This window comes from Homo sapiens, chromosome 7 (genome assembly GCF_000001405.40).
Source record: "Homo sapiens chromosome 7, GRCh38.p14 Primary Assembly".
NCBI classification, from domain to species: domain Eukaryota; kingdom Metazoa; phylum Chordata; class Mammalia; order Primates; family Hominidae; genus Homo; species Homo sapiens.
Genome location: NC_000007.14, coordinates 108,252,130 through 108,271,831, shown reverse-complemented (window position 1 = coordinate 108,271,831; position 19,702 = coordinate 108,252,130). Strand labels below are relative to the sequence as shown.

General features: G+C 42.4%; 1 protein-coding gene and 1 pseudogene across 105 annotated transcripts in view; one reads left to right on the top strand and one right to left on the bottom strand.

Moving 5' to 3' along the window:
* NRCAM (neuronal cell adhesion molecule) overlaps nt 1–19,702 on the top strand; it is a 309,072-nt gene that overhangs the window by 184,889 nt on the left and 104,481 nt on the right. The window contains exon 4 of one of the 105 annotated variants that reach the window (NM_001371141.1): nt 2,677–2,727. The exons of 103 other annotated variants lie outside the window; for them this stretch is intronic. The gene's annotated coding sequence lies outside the window, so the exon portion shown is untranslated. Of the gene's footprint in view, nt 1–166; nt 265–2,676; nt 2,728–19,702 lie in introns of all 105 variants that reach the window. One more of the 105 variants, NM_001371171.1, reaches the window with a different exon arrangement.
* RNU7-83P (RNA, U7 small nuclear 83 pseudogene) lies at nt 772–831 on the bottom strand (annotated as a pseudogene).

Below are 19,702 nucleotides of genomic sequence, written 5' to 3'. Positions count from 1 at the left end.
TTGTCTCCCAAGAAGTTTTAACAGTAATAAAATACCAGAGTTTGTAAATTACTTAATCAAAAAGTAAATGGGGTAAGAACTTCAGGTTACCCTATGGTAATCTCACGGTCAGTTTGTTAGGTTCTTTTTTTTTTTTTTGACGTGGAGTCTCACTGTTGTCACCCAGGCTGGAGTACAATGGCACAATCTTGGCTTACTGCAACCTCTGCCTCCCAGGTTCAAGCAATTCTCCTGCCTCGGCCTCCCAAGTAGTTGGGATTACAGGTATGTGCCACCATGCCTGGCTAATTTTGTATTTTTAGTAGAGAGTTTCACCATGTTGGCTAGGCTGGTCTCAAACTCCTGATCTCAAGTGATCTGCCCGCGTTAGCCTCCCAAAGTGCTGGGATTACAGGTGTGAGCCACCGTGCCTGGTCACTTTGTTAGGTTCTAATATACCTTCCTAAATGGAAGAGAAAGTGTGGGCACAGTGTAGGAGTGTGTTTTGAATGAATATCATCCATCGTGTCCTAGCAGAAGACTATTTTTTCCTTTTAAGAGCCTCTTTTCTAGCATATTTGCCTGTTACTGGAAGTGTGGAGATGTAAATCTTTAAGTATATGTTTTATGTTACATTTGGAAACCGTAATTTTTAAAAGTCCACTTCTTGCTGGTAGCTGTTTGATCTTTATTGTGGTAAAATATGCATAACATAATATACATAATTTATCGTTTTAACCATTTTTAAGTATAGCTCTCATTTTTATTTATTTTTAATTTTTCTTTGTGTGGGGGGTTTTCTAATGAAAACCAGAAAACCTGCTAGACAAATTCTGAAAGAGCTGGAACACTTAAGTGTATAGTTCTGTAGCATTAAGTGTATTCACCTTGTGCCAGCATCACCACCATCTATCTACAGAACTTTTCCTCTTCCCCAGCTGAAACTCTAAACCCATTTATAGTAACTCTGAACTCTCCATTCTTTCTTCCAGCCCCTGGCAAGCATGAATCTTTCTGTCTCTCACATTTGACTATTCTGGGTAACTCATATAAATGGAATCATACAATACTTGTCCCTCTCTGACTGGCTTATTTCACTTGGCGTAATGTCCTCAGTATCAGAATTTTCTTCCTTTTTAAGGCTGAATAATTTCCCACTGTATGTGGAAACCATATACCACAGTTTGCTTATCCATTCATTCTTTGATGGACACTTGGATTGTTTCTACCTTGCGGTTCTTGTGAATAATGTCGTTGCTATGGACGTAAGTGTAGACCACTTCCTGATCTTGAATTAGTATAGTTATTTGTGTGCTCAGAGGTGCTCGTCTTAAAAAAAAAAGTCTGTTACTATGTTAACCTGGCTATTTAAAGTCTCAATAGCAGAAATTCAGCATAAATAGCCCTTTTAAGTTTCAGATTTAACTGTGAAACCCTCTCCCTATCTGTGAATTATTAAATGAATGAATTATTATTAAGCCTCCACAAGAAGGGAACCTTGAAGGGGGGTGCTTGGTCTTTTCTCTCACTGAGGGACCATGCAAAGGCATCACTAGGTAGTTTTCTTATGGCAAACCCTAAAGCCCAGTTCCAACTCAGAATCCAGGATGTACCAGAAACAATGATTGGCTTTCCTACTGAATTATTTTTGAGTCTCAAACTATTGCTTTTATCATGTTGCCTTTTCCAATTTGATAGTCCTTCAAGTAACCAAACAAACAACTCCTTACAAAATAGGAATAAGAGTGATTTATGAAATAGGGAAAGCTGTTATTTTCCAAGCTCATGATAGGTTGTGAAGATAATGGAAGCTGTATCTGCTGAAACATTTTGAACTCTAATGAACACAAAGGAAAGAAGCAATGTTTCTTTGCACTGTAAAATTAGATAAACCTGTAAGCACAGTATGGTTACTGTCTAAGGAAGCTTTGCTAAGATTTCTAGCCTTCCAAAACCTTTTACATGGCTAGAAAATTTCATTTACTCCTTGCTACTCCTAAAAGTGATAAAAGCTAGGTCCTGTAGCTACAGGATGAAATATTGTCTGTATCCCATTTTCAGTTTTGAAAGAAATTCTAACTTGCATTGAACCCAATTTATTTTATGATTTGGGCATATAGGCATTTGATTATTTAACTGACTGATTAATGGAGTTTATTATTCAAGCATATAACTCATTACAGTTTCATCTAGCTTTGTATTCATTACCTTTTCAGTGTGTTCCTCCAGTTGGATAGAATTGTATCATATGCGAGTGTGTAACCTGTAGGGAACATGTCGCTACCTTCTTATGACACCTGGACCCCTTCCCCGTCACCCATCCTTTCCCTCCCAGTGAGACCCTTCCTTCTGCGTGACTTGGATGAAAGGTGACCCAAGACAGACCCCTGGTCTCATAAAGTTTACATCTAGAGGGAAAAGAGACAGTCACCAAACAAACTCACTATATTTGTACAATTACAAAGTGAAATCAGAGCTATGAAGAAAAGAGAGATGTTTAAAAAGGAGGTTTTATGCCCTGGAAGATAAAACATAGTCTAAAGCAACTCCTTGCCAAGTCCTGTTGAAACCTGAGACAAAAGGGAAAAATCAGCAATGCTGATCCTGTCTTTATTTAAACTTTGGTTATTTTGTTCAAATGGCTATTTTACATTACTGTTGAGTTTCTTTTTTCTTTTTTTTTTTTTTCAAATACAGCACGAAGACATGATTCGAGTTTTTGATGCCTCCCTGGCCTTTGCATCTGAGGTAAATGCCTCACTTGCTCCCTGTAGTCCCAGCCCAAAGCCATACTTCCCAGGCTCAAGTCCTGGTTCTGCCACTTATCAATTGTATGACTGTGAACAACCTGCATATACTGTGCCTCAGTTTCCTCTTCTGTAAAGCGAGGATAATAATAGTACTTGATAAGGTCATTATGAGGATTAAAAGAAGTTAATATTTGTAAAGCAGGAGAGCAGTGCCCGGCACAAAGTGCCATGCATGTAAGAAGAGTAATGAAGATGCCTGTATACTGTTTCAGGTATTGAACCATTCATAGGAGCTGGATTTCACATGACTGAATTCACCAGGCTGCCATCAGCATTTCTTCCCTCAACATTTTTACTGAATTTACACTAACACTGTAGAACAATCCTCTAGAGAATGTGGTCATATATTTTAAAAGCAAAAGACTTGCTCATTGCATGTCCTCTTCCCGCCACCGCCGCCCCCCCCAACCCCCCCCCACCCCCACCCCCGCCCCGCTCATTTCTTCACTCTGAAATAGCCAGGAGATGATGGGGGAATTGTAGACACTATCACCCACATCTTTTAGGCACTTTCAGAAGCATGGAATACTTTGTGGGCATGTGTTTCTCTTGCACAGAGGTTATGCCAGCCATCTTTGCACAGTTGAGGTGTCTGTTTATGTGCTGCCAAGGCAGGCATAGCCTTTAGATTCTGACTCTCACTTACTCATTTACTAAGGAATTTCTGATGTAGCCCTTTCAGAGCACTGCACACAACTAAGCAGACCCAGCCATTGACAGGATCCCCAGTTTTGGAACATCCACTGCTTCTTTTCCTGTTTGCAAGGAAACTCAACAGCTTTCTGTTAGCATCTATTTCTAGTGTGATTTTAAGTTCTGTTTGTGATGATTCTACAAAATCGAATACACTTCCTTTTTATTCACATAAAAGCACTTTTTTGAAGAGAATATAGTCTTTTTATCTCTTATGGCAAGAATGTTGTGTTTACACTTTAAAAGTGCAGAGTGAACAGGAAACATTGCTCTTTAAAAGTGAAGAAATGCCGTGTAAATGAATTTTACTTATTTGCTATATTAATGAGAAAATTAAAAATCCTGATGTGCACTCATTTATTCCATAAGACTAGAGGTAGCTGTGTGAGATAGCAGGAATTTAATTATCTGTATAGATTTCCAGTTAAACAGATAATATTTTTGCTAAAGTAGATTCTATGTATGAATATAACTGCCCTAGGGAAAATAATGTTATACCATGGAAGAACTGACCTTTATCTGAAAATGAATAAATGGGTTTTTTGTCCTATTTTACCCTTGAGCTTTTAATTAACAATTTGTAGAAAGAGGGTCACTTGACTGGAATTAGAATTCTCTTTTGATGAGTCTTTTTTATATTCTGTCTGGGATTGTATGTAAACTTATCTTTCCTTTCTAAAGAACCTCAACATGCTAAAATTTAAATGCAGGGTTCCAATTCAAATAAAGCGTAAGGAATAAAACCGTTTCCCTTTTAAAAAATGTGTGAAATTTTAAGTGGGCTTTTTTGGGGTTTTTGTTTTTTCCTAAGTTACTTTTCAAAGTGGAATACCTTTATACGGACACGTGTAATCAAACATCATTATTTATATTTACATTCTCTTTGGAAACCATGGGATTCTCAAGGCCCAAAGCCAAGTGCCCAAGAACCCTGACCGAAAGTGTGTGGTTGCCTATTGAGGGAGCAATTGCTATATTATAAAGCCACAGTATGCCTTTTTGCCATAACTGGCAACAGCAAAATCAAAGGATTCTTGGGAGAAAATTCTCTATAGTTCTAATCACACATCTTGCAAGCAGAGGCACTGGTTGCCCTTTGTTCCAGAGCTGTTTTTTAAAATAACAGTTGTATAATAAGTAGCCTTAAGTGGCAGAGAAAGTGTTTCCTTCTAGAGCATGGAGGGATGCTTACCGCTTATTATAAAAGATTCTGGTTCCCTAAGCTCAGAGTTTTCTCTCATGTAATGCAATCTGCTGTGTGTGTGGGTGTCATGTGGCCCTCTTTATAACACCCTATTGGAATAATTGGAGTCTTAGGAACCAGTTCAAGAAATTACTGATACTCTGGCTACTGCTATTGCTATATGGAATAAAGTCTTTGTCTTTGACCCAGTAGTTTTTTGTCCTCTGCTCTATAAAACTGTAATAGGATAACTTGTTAGCGGGGTAAAATCTTAGACTCTTTCTTCTTACTGACAGGAATGTCCTTTAAAAGACACATAAAGATGATGGCCCTTTCTTTTTCCTTTGTCCTCAATCGTAAGTGGATGTGGTGGGCTTAGGGATAACATAGCCTGAAGTGTGGCGTATGGATCAGATGGCAGGAGACCTGTTCATCTGTGGCCTGCATCAGATGGCAGGAGACCCAGTTCTAAATATAGAAGCTGGTGTGAGTCACAGGGAATGACTGATATTTCTCAGAAGGTAAGAGATTGTCTCTTTATGACAATTTTGGGCACCTAGAGACAGAAAAGACACTGGATCTGATTTGAACTCTATCTCTTTGAGCTCAGATTCCCCCCAAAAAATATCATTTAAATTTACCTAGAGAACACACATGCGTGTGCAGTGTAGTAAACCTCATGTGCAGTGGCTGATTACCTTTGGAGACAGAGCAGATGACCATAAGCCTCATCTGGGTAAGAACAGCTCAATTTAGCCATCATACCCAGGCTTTACCAGCCCAGGACCCCAAAGCCTACATTATTCTGATTGGTAGCATAGCAGCATTTCTTCATATCTGCCTTCCTAGTATGGATACAACTTTAGGAAATGGTCCTACTAGACTAGACAGAAATTTGACTCAAAATGGTTGAGGCCATGCCAACCTGAATAGAAGTGCCAGCACATGGCTTCTGTGTTATCTGTTATCTCACTGCTTTGAGAAGCATAAAGCCTCATCCAAAACAATGATGTGAGGGAAAGCTTACAAAGAACACTGTGGAATGGCCCTTTTCATATATGAGAAAATATTTGAAAACACATACAATACATTAATACTATGAAAAAAAGAAAAAATTTATGAAAAACAATAAAAATCAGTTCATAGGTGGGGGAAGGAATATTTCAAATGATTTACACAGTTCAGAGCTATTCAAACTGCTGAATATTTCTAGCACTTTCATGACCACTGGCTTTCTCATTCACCAATTTTCTTTTTCAGCTTTCATTTAGCTAAACATCAATGGTGTATTTTGTTGTAAATGGTATGGCAAATAAGAAGGGCATGATTAAAAGAGAATGCTCTCATCAAGGTATGAATGTGCCAGTTAATTCTTAAAGACACTGTGCACAGTTTTTTGTGAATTCTGGAAGCATCTGTGAAACTTTGTATTAACAAACCATTATATGTTAATAATACCTATCTCAGAGAACTCCTGTAAAGATAAAGTAAGCTAATGTTTGCAAATTTCTTGGCACAGACAGCCTGGCACACAGTAAGTGCTTAATATGTATTGACTATTATAATAGGGATGGAGCAGTTAAAAACATGAGTGTTTTGCACTTTAGGAGTTTCCAGAAGGAAGCCAAATTTTCCTGTGTAATTTGGAAAGCATAAAATAGAGGTCAGGTGTGAAACTGGTTCCCAGGAGATGATGGAGAAAGACATGGAGGACTCTACCCACTGTTAAACTGGGTCAGATCAGGATAGACCCCAAAAAAGCTGTGCTGTGAAATCATCTATGTCTCACAGAGGGACATTGGGATCCATCTGCAAGGTGAACCACCATCACCATGAAGTCAAGGGTGAGGACACCAGTGTAGCCCTCCCCCAGGGGCAAGGATATTCCATTAGCCTGTATCCCAAAGCTCCAGGGTTTATGCAGGATCCAGGAGAACTGCAAAGCACCAGGTCCCTACAAACGATAAAGGCAGGGACAGCTGGGAATGTGCCCTGGGTATTGTCACACAGCCTTACTTTCTAAATGTGATTCTGTCTCCCAAAGCCCTGTATGAGCCACGGCTCCCGCACACTCAGCTCTGAACATCTTTCAGAAGGTGGGGCTCCATGAGCTGTTGGAGGTTCCACAGGTGCCACCATTGCCCCTGGGAGCACTTGATGGGGCTTCACATCCAGATGTCTCGGCTCCTCTTACACAAATGTGAGGACAGCATTCATTTTCTGTCCGGTTGGAGACCCCCTATTATTCATCTGCTGTTGGAGGGAAGAGGAGGTGTTGAGATTATTGTGTTTTCCTTATACCTTAAAAAGAGAATAACTTTTTCTTTCCCTCAAAACACGTGGAATTGGAAACCTAGAAACTCAACGAGGTCAATTAATAAGACTGGATACAGGCTCTGATTTCTGGTTAGGAGAAGACAACCCAGGGAAAGAGAGTTATTAGGTGTTTGTTACAGGAACAGAGAAATTGTCTTTGTTTTTAGTCTTAACTACCAAGAAGCCCACAAGAAGCAATGGGTTGCCATTAGGAGACTAATAAAGATAGGTATTGTATAAACGATTGATGCCAGTTAAGATAAATATTGTATCAACTGGTATGAAGCATGAAGATGTTTCTGAAATTCCAGTTTGTTGGACCATTTTTAGAGTGCTCATTTTAAGGAAAGGTAGAAGAATAATCTGTGTTGTTGGTGAGACCCAAGACCTTAAGGTCCTTGTGATTTCCCCATAGTCCCAGTTGTGCAGTATCTTTTTTGATTAAGCCAAGAAAACATGTAACTCAGCTTATAAAGAATATAAGCATAATTAAAAATAAAATAATGCAGCATTAAATATGTCTTCCTAGATAAATGAAAAGAGGGCTTTACACAGGAAGTAGAAAAGAAGATGCAGACCAGGCGCAGAGGCTAATGCCTATAGTCCCAGTGCTTTGGGAAGCCAAAGCGGGCAGATCATTTGAGGTCAGGAGTTCAAGACCAAAGTGGCCAAATGGTGAAACCTATCTCTACTAAAAATACAAAAATTAGCTGGGTGTGGTGGCACGCACCTGTAATACCAGCTACTTGCGCAGCTGAGGCAGGAGAATCGCTTGAACTCGGGAGACAGAGGTTGCAGTGAGCCAAGACTGCACCACTGCATTCCAGCCAGAGTGAGACTCCATCTCAAAAAAAAAGAAACAAAGATGCTAAAGCCATATTATATTTTCATATACATAGTATTAAACATAGTAGTAATATTATGGTATGTTTTAAAAACAGCAGGCAATGCAATATGGAAAGACTGAATGCAGGAAGACTTGAGTGTATAATAGGGTAAATGAAGTTCAAGAACTCTTCAGATTGCTGGACTGGTATGAGGCCTGGCCCAGGTCACTTTCAGCTGTCTAACATGTGTTCCTTGCTGGTGGCACCCACCCAACATGAAAATTAGCTTTCTGATTAAGTCATCCCATAAGCCTGTGAGCCAGGCTCTGTGGAGTGGGTCAGATGAATGACTTCTAGCTTCCTAAGTGGTTTCTATGTGACAGTTGCACTCATGGTAGGGGTAAGGGTTTCAGAGAAGCACCCCACCATGATTTGAGGCAATTATACAGCCTGGCTCATGGCTGAGCCACACTAGCACCTGCCAGATGGCGCTGGCAGGAAGCAGGCAGGCCCTGTTTCAGCACTGCCTGATGCGGAAGCTCGGAGTTAGGGCAATACACTGCAATTGGCTCTTATGGCCCTTTGCACCTGTTAGTGAAGAGGCCAGACTATTTGTGTCATTCATGTACAGAGGATTTCTTTCTTTCTAACCTTTGGAGTTAGTGTTATTCTCATCCCACACTTGGAGAGAAAGAACATCAGTTCTCATTTCTGCACAAAAAGAAAAAACACTAGGCAAGGAAAGAAATGAAATTCTTTTCTGTGAAGGTGTTTCATGAACGCAGTGAAATAAAGCAGGCAGATAAGATAATATGATTTGGTTATTCCTCCTGGAATCTAGAGACTGAGATGAAATTGGGGGTTTTCTGCCACAGGGCATCCACGTGGTTCCTGTGGGGGCCGTAGGGATGAGACACTCACTCTAACCAAGCACCTTGGAAGATGAGGGTTGTGTCAGTGGTCTCCATGGGTTTATGATGTTCACCTTCCTTCCTATGCATTCCCCCAAGTCAAGCTTGAAGAGACATTGAAGATGTCTGGGAAATGCTTCTCCACGTGGTAGCTTCTGCACTTCTGCCTAGAGTGAAGGAATTTGCACCAAGGGAGTCTGTAGTTATGCTTCTAATGAGGCAAAGGAGAATAAAAAGATAAGCCAAAAGGCTTCGTGGTGAAAGTATGTGACCCAGTGGAGGAAGAAAAGGGGAAAATCTAGCCAACAAAGCAGAACACTTTTTACACTGAGAGTCAAAATGAGCCAGGAAAGCAGCTCAGCACCTTGTTTTCCAAAGGAGATGGAGAAGGACCAAATGCAGAGACCTGAGAAGAAATGACCCCAGAAAAGAGTGAAACTGCACATCTACAGGTCATGCCTTATGTAAAGTGTGTCCTATAGATCTTCAAGGAGTACATGTGGAAGTAAAAGGATGCTCAAGACTTATAAGGATTTGTCTGCTGTTCCCATGCTGTAGAAAGATTATGGACTTTGAATCCACAGGACTGGGTTCAAATTCTAGTTTGAATTCTTGCTGTGTGGTCTTGGATGAGTTATCTGGCCTCTCTAAATCTGTGTCCTCCTTGTATAAAGGAGACAAGTGAGAGAACCAAAAAAAGGGTAGGCACAAAAGTTCTCAGGGAATGTCTCTTTCCTGTTTCCTATTTCAGCCTTGGAAAAAATACACACATCAAACACACACACACACACCACATCACTGTAGTTGAGGAGTCCTTCTGTCGGGGAGGTGGTGGGTGCATCAAGGGACCAATCATGGGTGATGCACCCTGGGAGCATGAATCCAGGGTATGAGATTTTGCAAACCCAATCTAAGACTGCCAACCACTTGTGTTAGCCTAGGGTCCCCCAAAAGCTGAGCCAGAGACTACTTATGCACAAGCCTTAGTCTCTGGCTCAGCATTTGGGGACTTGTGCATAAGTAGCTTGTTTGGAAATGTGATCCTCAGGAGCAGAAATGCAGAAAGGGGGAGTGGAAGAAAGTGAGGGGAGGAGCCAACAGAAGCCTGTGTCATTGCATTGGCTGGTTGATCCCAGTGGACTGGTGAAAGGGTTTATGAAGTGTTTCAGAACTGTCTGCCAGGGGATGAAATGGAGTGCTTTTATCCACTGACTCCAGATCTTCACTGGTCTAGACTGGCCCTCACAAGACTAACTCCCCTGCACTGCTGGGTTGTGCTTGAGTGCAGAGTGGATTTCTAGAACTATTAACCAAGATTAGAGATGGCTAGGGCAGGAAGCAAGAGATCCCTATGAGGGTCAAGGTGAGGCCACTGTCCTAGAGCACCTGTGCCAAGCTGCTCAAAGCCTCCAGGAAAACAGGTGTCTACAGCTGTGGCTGAAATAAGAGGAACAACCCAAGAGGACTTTGAAGTGGTGCACACGAGGGGTCCAATACAACAACTCTAATGGGGATGTCCTGTCTTTTTGCCTGGAAAGAAGATGCTAAAATAAAGAATTCCCTGGAGTGTCTTTGGCCTTTCAAGTCTATGATTCATGGAGATAAAACCAAAATTTGCTAAAAATCTGTTGATTAATAAAATATAAATAGACACAGCAATAACATTTGCTAATTTTATTCTCCAAATGATACCTGTCAGCTGTAGACAATGTGTGGAGCAAAAGAGAGCTATACTATCTACTTACTGGACAACAGACCTAACTTAGGCGGTGGTGATATATGCTGAAAACAAAGAGAGCAGTGCTTGGGCTTCAGGAAAATCTAGTGGAAAGTTGAGTTTATTGATCCTTAGGAGCACAACCTTTACCTGGGTCTTAAGTGGGTTTTATAATGATTAGGAAATCTTATTAAAGAAGAAACTTCGGAAGGGGTTCTGGGTGCTTTTAGAACAAAGGAGAGGACATAGGGAATATTTCCAAGTCAGCTTGGACCCAGACAAAATTATAAAGTGGATTAAGTTTGTTTTCAGCCCCTTTCTGTCCACCATTTCTCCTCATGTCCCCACATTCACTTCCCCTCCATCAGTGTCCCCCTTTAGGAACCTAGTACCTAGTATCATACTGGCCTGCTTAGATGCCTCTATGCAATCAACCAGTTGATTCTTATTGATACTTCCAATGTACCTAGAACCTTGCCAGGAATTGAATATGAGAACACCCCACATAAACCTTCCCCAAATGGCCTATCCTCCAGTCTCAAGTCCTGCCCATGATGGTAGATAATTTAAAAGGCTAATTTATATACATTGTGCCCAACACCTGTTTATGCACCACTCCAGAGCCTCGGCCTCCCCATCTCTTGTTCCAGCTCTGTGTGGGCCCCAGCCAATTTCACACCAGTACCCCTCTCATCTCCCACCCAACACTCCCATGTTGACATCACTGCAGACTCCACTAATGCCCACGCTCTGGAATGCACAATCCAGAGGAGCAAGGGGGTGAATCTTAGACCAAGCACATCCCGGGAGTAAGTTCTTCTCCCTTTCCCCACTCCATCACAGGGCTGGTTCTGAGCTCCCATTTATCCACCTTCTTGGGAGTGTGGTCTGTGGATTGAGCAATCAGTCACACTCGGCAGCTCAGTACTCCTCCATATTGGCTCTCCATCCTTTCCAGCATCTCTCCCCTTGTACCTCATTCCTCCCTAAGAGTATAGTCCCTGATAAAATAACAACCCATTCATTTTTTTCAATAAATACTCTTTAGGTGTTTACTGTGGGCCAGGCACTGACTCTGGCACTGTGAGTACAGAGATGAACTTTTATATTCAATGACTTATCTGATATTAGATGTTTTCTCAGAAGCCATATTGTTTAATGCCCTTTCTTGGACGTCAGGAAATTCTGGCCACGTGGTGGAGGGCTCCGCTTGCCTGAATGGGTTAAGGATTAGAAATGGTTTGAGAAACGGAATAGGAAGCAAAACTAGACAAAATCTCTCAGGACCAGGTTCTGAAAGCAAAGATATCAGGCACTCTTCCTCATGGAAATTGTCTGAGCCTCCAGACAATTAAGAGGTTTATTTTTCAAAAAGCTTTTTTAAAAATTCAAATTTTATTTTAAGTTCTGCGGTACATGTGAAGGATGTGCAGGTTTGTTACATAGGTAAGTGTGTGCCATGGTGGTTTGCTGCACTTATCAACCCAACACCTTGGTATTAAGCCCTGCATGCAATAGCTATTCATCCTGATGCTCTCTCTCCCTCCACCCGCCGACAGGCCCCAGTGTGTGTTGTTCCTCTCCCTGTGTCCATGTGTTCTCATTGTTCAGCTCCCACTTATAAGTGAGAACATGTGGTGTTTGGTTTTCTGTTCCTGCAGTAGTTTACTGAGGATAATGGCTTCCAGCTCCATCCATGTCCCTGCAAAGGACATTATCTCATTCCTTTTTATGGCTGCATAGTATTCCATTGTCTATATGTACCACATTTTCTTTATCCGATCTATCACTGATGGACATTTGGGTTGATTCCATCTCCTTGCTATTGTGAATAGTGCTGCAACAAACATACACATGCATGTATCTTTATAATAGAATGATTTCTATTTCTTCAGGTATATACCCAATAATGGGATTGCTGGGTCAAATGGTATTTCTGGTTCTAGGTCTTTGAGGAACCACCACACTGTCTTGCACAATGGTTGAACTAATTTACATTCCCATCAATAGTGTCAGAGCGTTCCTGTTTCTCCACAGCCTCACCAGCACCTGTTGTTACTTGACTTTGATTTTTAAAAAGGCTTGTTAACCAATTATTCAACAGTTCATTTAGCAAATTTGTATGGATTTAAGTGGTACTTCAAGAAGTTCACAATTTATGGAGTAAAAGAATCAACACTCATTTTAGGAAGTGATGAGTATGCTTATAAAAGTACACGAGTTCTTTAGGAGAGGGTTAACAAAGACATTTTCCTCTAGAGAAACTCTGTCCAATAGAATTTTCTGTGATGATGAAAATGTTCCACGCTGTGTTGTCCCAACACAGTAGCCACTAGCCAGCCCCATGTGGCTGTTGGGCACTCAAATTGTGGACAGTGTGACTGAGGAACTGGATTTTTAATATTCATTAATCTTAATTTGAATGTAAGTAGCCACATTTGACTAATGGCTGCTGTTTTTGACAGTGCAGTTCTAATGGTTGACATTTTAGTGGAGTCTCCAGGAATAAGTAGGTGTTATCCAGGCCACAAGGAGGATAGGAACCAAGTAGAAAGTGGAGAAAGCAGACTGGGTCGAGAGAACAACAGTGAACATGGACATCAGAGTGCTTGTTTGTTAGGCTTTTGTCACCATTTACTAAGGGTCCACTAAGCTCCTGCCACATCGCTATGCTCATTCCATATTTATCTCAACAGCCCCGGAGGTAGGTAAATTAGCCCCGTTTTACAGGTGAGGAAACTAAGGCACACAGAGCTTGTTGAACATAACCAATGCAACACAGCTTGTAGGTGACAGCACCAGGATTTAAGCTAGGCTCTGACTCAACAGCCTATCCTCTTTTTACTTTATCATTTTCCCCCACGTGGGTCTGTCACATGGGAAATTTGGGCTTCATGTCCTTATAGGCAAAACTGTTCTGAATTGGGGTCTTTCCCTAGACAAGAATGTATGGTGTAAAAAGAAGGAGGAAAAGGAGTTGAGAGGGCTGGTCAGAAAAATGAAGGGTGGCCCATGGGACCTAAGCTGGAAAGAGAAGGAAGTGAAGAATAGAATTTTTGGAGAGTGGGAATAATGTGGAGCTGAAGGACCAGGGGCAGGAGGAATAATTAAGAGAAAGCACCACACGCAAGGCTGTTGTGGTCAGAGGGAATTATTGCCATTTTAGCGGGCTTTCAGCCAAAGGACAACCTGGAGCATGTTTCGGCCCTGAAGCTGAGGGTGTTAACTGCTGAAGGAAACTGGCAGAATTTCCATCAGAGCACACAGACAGCCACCTCCTCCAACAGGCAGAGACCCAGACTCCTCTGTGTGAGGAAATGGACTTCTCAGAAACTAAGTCTGAGCTTGCTTTCTTTTATAAATCTCTACTTTTGGTGGCTTATTTTTGCTTAGGAAGATAGAAGTCAGTAGCGTTGACTTTGAAAAGTGTTCATAATCCTCAGCATGCCCGGTGAAGTGGAGACAAAGAGGAGGCAGTGTGGCACGTGAAGAAGAGAAGGGTGTGAACGCTCTCATCTGAGACGCTTGATGAAACTGATCCTCTCTGCCTGACTTAGGTTTAATAGCTCACATACCTGTGAATGTGAAGTTAAAAGCAATTTTGATTTGAAATCAAGGTTATGTAGAAATGAGTCTTAATATATCATAAAAATCATTTCAAGAAATCCTGAAAATTGTCACGAACCCTTATTAAGGAAATTGATTTGCAGATGATGATAGAAATAATTTTTTCATGAAAATGACAAATGTAGCTTATTTTCATTGACATTTATTTTCATTAGAGTAGGCTGCTGTCTACACTTCTCTTAAAACCACTCTTTCAATAATACATTTAGATTCATATGCTAATATATCTGCCATTTCTCTCAGTATCGCTTAATACTCTGTGTTTAGAAACAGGTATATTGAATTTATACTGGGACTAGAGTATTATATTTGAAAGCACTTACCCGGGGCAAAGGCTATGAATGTATCCTCTGAAAGGTGTCTTGATTTGGAAAGCACAGGATGTTCCAGTTAACTTTCTTATTTATAGTTTTTTGAAGTATAACTTATATACCACAAAATCTACCCATCTTAAGTGTAGTTTGGTGAGTTTTAGTGCATTTTTAACAGCAAACTTCATCCCAATCTAGCTACAGAACATGACTGTCGACTGACAAAGTTCCCTCCTGCCTGTTTATAGTCAGTCTCCTCTCCTACCCCAGGCCCCAGCAGCCACTAATCTGTTCTCTGATTCTATAGTTTTGCCTTTTCTTCCTTCCTTCCTTTCTCTTCTTTTCTTTTCTTTTCCTTCCTTCCTTCTTTCCTTCCTTCCTTCTTTCTTCTTTCCCTCCCTCCCTCCCTTCCTTCTTTTCTTTTTCTTTTTCTTTTTCTTTTTTTTTTTTTTCGACAGTCTTCCTTTGCCACCCAGGCTGGAGTTCAGTGGCATCATCTTGGCTCACTGCAACCTCCACCTCCCGGGTTCAAGTGATTCTTGTGCCTTAGCCACCAGAGTAACTGGGATTATAGGCGTGCACTACCACACCTGGCTGTATTTTTAGTAGAGACTGGGTTCTGCCGTGTTGGCCAGGCTGGTCTCAAACTCCTGATCTCAAGTAATCCGCCCGCCTTGGCCTCCCAAGGTGCTGGGATTACAGGTATGAACCACCATGCTGGCTATACTTTTGCATTTCTAAAGATTTCATATAAGTAGAATCATAGATGGTCTTTTGGGTCTGGCTCCTTTTACTCAGCATAGTTGTTTTTTTTGTTGTTGTTTGTTTTTAGTATTTATTGATCATTCTTGGGTGTTTCTCGGAGAGGGGGATTTGGCAGGGTCATAGGACAATAGTGGAGGGAAGGTCAGCAGATAAACATGTGAACAAGGGTCTCTGGTTTTCCTAGGCAGAGGACCCTGCGGCCTTCCGCAGTGTTTGTGTCCCTGGGTACTTGAGATTAGGGAGTGGTGATGACTCTTAACGAGCATGCTGCCTTCAAGCATCTGTTTAACAAAGCACATCTTGCACCGCCCTTAATCCATTTAACCCTGAGTGGACACAGCACATGTTTCAGAGAGCACGGGGTTGGGGGTAAGGTTATAGATTAACAGCATCCCAAGGCAGAAGAATTTTTCTTAGTACAGAACAAAATGGAGTCTCCTATGTCTACTTCTTTCTACACAGACACAGTAACAATCTGATCTCTCTTTCTTTTCCCCACATTTCCCCCTTTTCTATTCAACAAAACCACCACCGTCATCATGGCCCGTTCTCAATGAGCTGTTGGGTACACCTCCCAGACGGGGTGGCGGCCGGGCAGAGGGGCTCCTCACTTCCCAGAAGGGGCGGCCGGGCAGAGGCGCCCCCCACCTCCCGGACGGGGTGGCTGGCCGGGCGGGGGCTGCCCCCACCTCCCTCCCGGACGGGGCAGCTGGCCGGGCGGGGGCTGCCCCCCACCTCCCTCCCGGACAGGGCGGCTGGCTGGGTGGGGGCTGCCCCCCACCTCCCGGACGGGGCGGCTGCCGGGCGGAGACGCTCCTCACTTCCCAGACGGGGCGGCTGCCGGGCGGAGGGGCTCCTCACTTCTCAGAGGGGGCAGCCCGGCAGAGACGCTCCTCACCTCCCAGACGGGGTGGCGGTCGGGCAGAGACACTCCTCAGATCCCAGACGGGGTCGTGGCCGGGCAGAGGCGCTCCTCACATCCCAGATGGGGCAGCGGGGTAGAGGCGCTCCCCACATCTCAGACGATGGGCGGCCGGGCAGAGACGCTCCTCACATCCCAGACGATGGGCAGCCAGGCAGAGACGCTCCTCACTTCCCAGACGGGGTGGCGGCCGGGCAGAGGCTGCAATCTCGGCACTTTGGGAGGCCAAGGCAGGCTGCTGGGAGGTGGAGGTTGTAGCGAGCCGAGATCACGCCACTGCACTCCAGCCTGGGCAACATTGAGCACTGAGTGAGCGAGACTCCGTCTGCAATCCCGGCACCTCGGGAGGCCCAGGTGGGCAGATCACTCGCGGTCAGGAGCTGGAGACCAGCCCAGCCAACACGGCGAAACCCCGTCTCCACCAAAAAATACAAAAACGAGTCAGGCGTGGCGGCGCACACCTGCAATCCCAGGCACTCGGCAGGCTGAGGCAGGAGAATCAGGCAGGGAGTTTGCAGTGAGCCGAGATGGCGGCAGTACAGTCCAGCCTCTGCTCCGCATCAGAGGGAGACCGTGGAAAGTGGGAGGGGCAGGGGGGGGAGGGGGAGAGGGAGAGGGAGAGGCTCACTCAGCATAGTTTTGAGGTTTCATCCATGCCGCATGTTGTTGCATATATCAGTAGTTCATTCTTTGTTATTGCTGAATACTTTTCCATTATATGAATATACCACATTTTGCTTATTCTTTCATCCGTTAATGGGCATTGGATCTGTTTACAATTTTTCATTATTATAAATAATGCTGCTATATACATTTGCGTACAAGTCTTTGTGTGGTTATATGTTTTCATTACTCTTAGGTAAAAGAGTAGAATTGCTGGATTGTATGGTAAGTGAGTGTTTAACTTTTAAGAAATTGCCAGGTTGGGCATGGTGGCTCATGCCTTTAATCCAAGCACTTGGGAGGTCCAGGTGGGTGGATTACTAAAGCTCAGGAATTCGAGACCAGTCTGGGTAATATAGTGAAACCTGGTCTCTACAAGTAATAAAAAAAACTAGGTGGGTATGGTAGAACATATGCCTGTGGTCCCACCTACTTGGGAGGCTGAGGTGGGAGGATGGTTTGAGCCCAGGAGACAGAGGTTGCCCTTAGCTGAGATCACGCTATTATACTCCAGCCTGGGCAACAGAGCTAGTTCCATCTCAAAAAAAAAAAAAAAGCAAAATTGTTTTTTCAGAATGGCTATATGTTTTTATGTTTCCATAGCAATATGTGAGGATTTCAGGTTCTCCACAGCCTCACCAACACTGGACATCATCAGTCTTTTTGAATACAGCCATTCAAGTGGGTGTGTGGTAGTATCGCATTGTGGTTTCAATTTGCATTTCCTTAATGATAAATGATATTGAGCATCTTTTCATGTGCTTGTTAGATATTTGTATATCTTCTTTGGAGAAATCTCTAATGAAATTTTTGTCCATCTTTTTATTGACTTGTTTTGTCTTCTTAGTTTTTCTACATGTTGTAGATACAAGTCCTTTATTAGATATATGATTTGTAAATAGTCTGTGGCTTGTCTTTGCATTTTCTTGTTGGTTTCTTTTGAAGAGCAACTGTTTTTAATTTTGATTATGTTAAGTTTATCAGTTTTTTTCTTTTGGTGTCATAGCTAAGAAATTTACCTAACTAAGGTTGCGAGATATTCTCTTATGTTTTATGCCAAGGATTGAAAAACTATTGACTTTTATTCTTTAGAACAATAATTAACAATCGCCTGGACGCCACAGCCAGGGATTTGGCAGTCTCTGGTAGCTTTGTGGTTTCGTGGTTGGGGTAGTGATAGGAGCAGGAGGCTGAGTATATTGTTGTCATTGTAAATAATTGTAACTTGGCCCCAGCAACCTTCTGTCATCCCTGCTGCTGAGCACAGTACTCAGAAAAACTCCCCCATGCCTATTTGCCATCAGTCTCCTCTCTGACCACTCCCAGTCTCAGGCATCCATCCATCTGTACATAATTGATTTTCAGGTGATTGAGTTAAATTTAATTGAATCCTCTAAAATTCCCTGCACATTTCACTCTGTGCATGAGAAGATGGCACTCTTGATAATCCTTTTGAAAGAAAAGTTCTTTAACTCACTTACCCAGCTTGGCACTTTGAAACTCATCTGATATTAGCATAAAAACAAAACTCAATAACAGCATTTATGCCCCCTTACAACGGGCACCAACTTTACGTTTCTGCCTCATCACCCTCACTTAGTATCCTTCATCCCCTTCTGGGCACTTGCCAGAAACACACTATACGCTTGGACTTTACTCATGGCTTCCCTCTTCTCTCCCTGGAGTATTACTGTTACTCTTCCAGGGCAAGGTAGAGCTCAGGTTTCACCTCCCAGAGTCTTTCCTCTTCCCTCTTGAACACAATTGGATACATCTTACTTTCTGCTCCCATAGGGCCTAGATCCAGCTTCTGGTGGAGCACTTACCACATTGTTTTGCATTTAGTTATATTCTCATACAGCTCACTGCCTGCTCCCAAGCCCAGCTTTGAGCACTTCAAGGGCGTGAATTATGTTGAATTCATATTTGAATCCCCCCTAGCATCTAAAACTTCATGGGTGTCCAATAAATATTGTTAATAAAATGTTTGAAGCCATTCCTACAAAGAACTCTAAGTGCCTTAGACGCTGAGATAATGCTGCAGCTTTAAAGCTTCTAAGTAAAAATGACAACTCTTCCCTTTAAGTTCTGTCATTTTAGATATGTCCTGGTCTGAAAGTCCGCTCAGACGTTCCTGCCTCTGCAGAGTAGCCTGCACTTTCTTCTCAATTTTGTAGGCTTGCCTTCCACTTAAAATGTTCAGCATGCAATGTAGAGATTATTATCAATTGCTTCCCCATCTTGGGCAAAATTTTCGCAGAAATGTTTAGAGAACAGCTCGTCTCCATCCATACCCTTGCTCTCAGTTCAAACCAAAGTACTTCTTTCAAATGTGACCGTTTTTCCTGCATCTTGCTTGATAGCTTGTCTGATGGCTTAGTCCAATTTATAAAATCTGTACAGAAGAACTAGGTGTCTTGATTTAGTTAAATGGACAGAGAAAACACTGAGATTTATCTATCTCCTATTCTTATAACCAACTTTGATAAAAATCAGAAGTTAAAACCAAGCTCCTGCTGAGTATTAACAGGCCTTCTGCAGCTATTTCTGGAAGGGTATTTTTTTAACTTTTATTTTAGGTTTGGGAGTACATGTGAATAGAATAGAATACATTCAGATCTTTCAAAAAATAAAAACTGTTTTCTCTGCAAGGCTTGTGAGAGGAGTTGGAGAACAACAATTAGTGTTTTATACTCTAGCAAGGGCCTACAATAGTCTTATTTAAAATTCTCGAAGGAGACAGAAACCTAAATTTGGAAAGCCTTCCTCAGACAGACTAACTGGACATTTTTAAGAAGCTGCTCAGTGAGGTGCGTTCAACTTTGGCAGGCAAGAAACCACCCAACTTTGCCTGCTTAATCCTCAGCCAGCTGACCACGCAGGAGCAGGACCTTTAGCCATTTATTCTCCCCATTCCTGAGCAACACCCACACCCAATACCTCATAAAAATTATATGCAGTTATTCTATCCAGCTCTA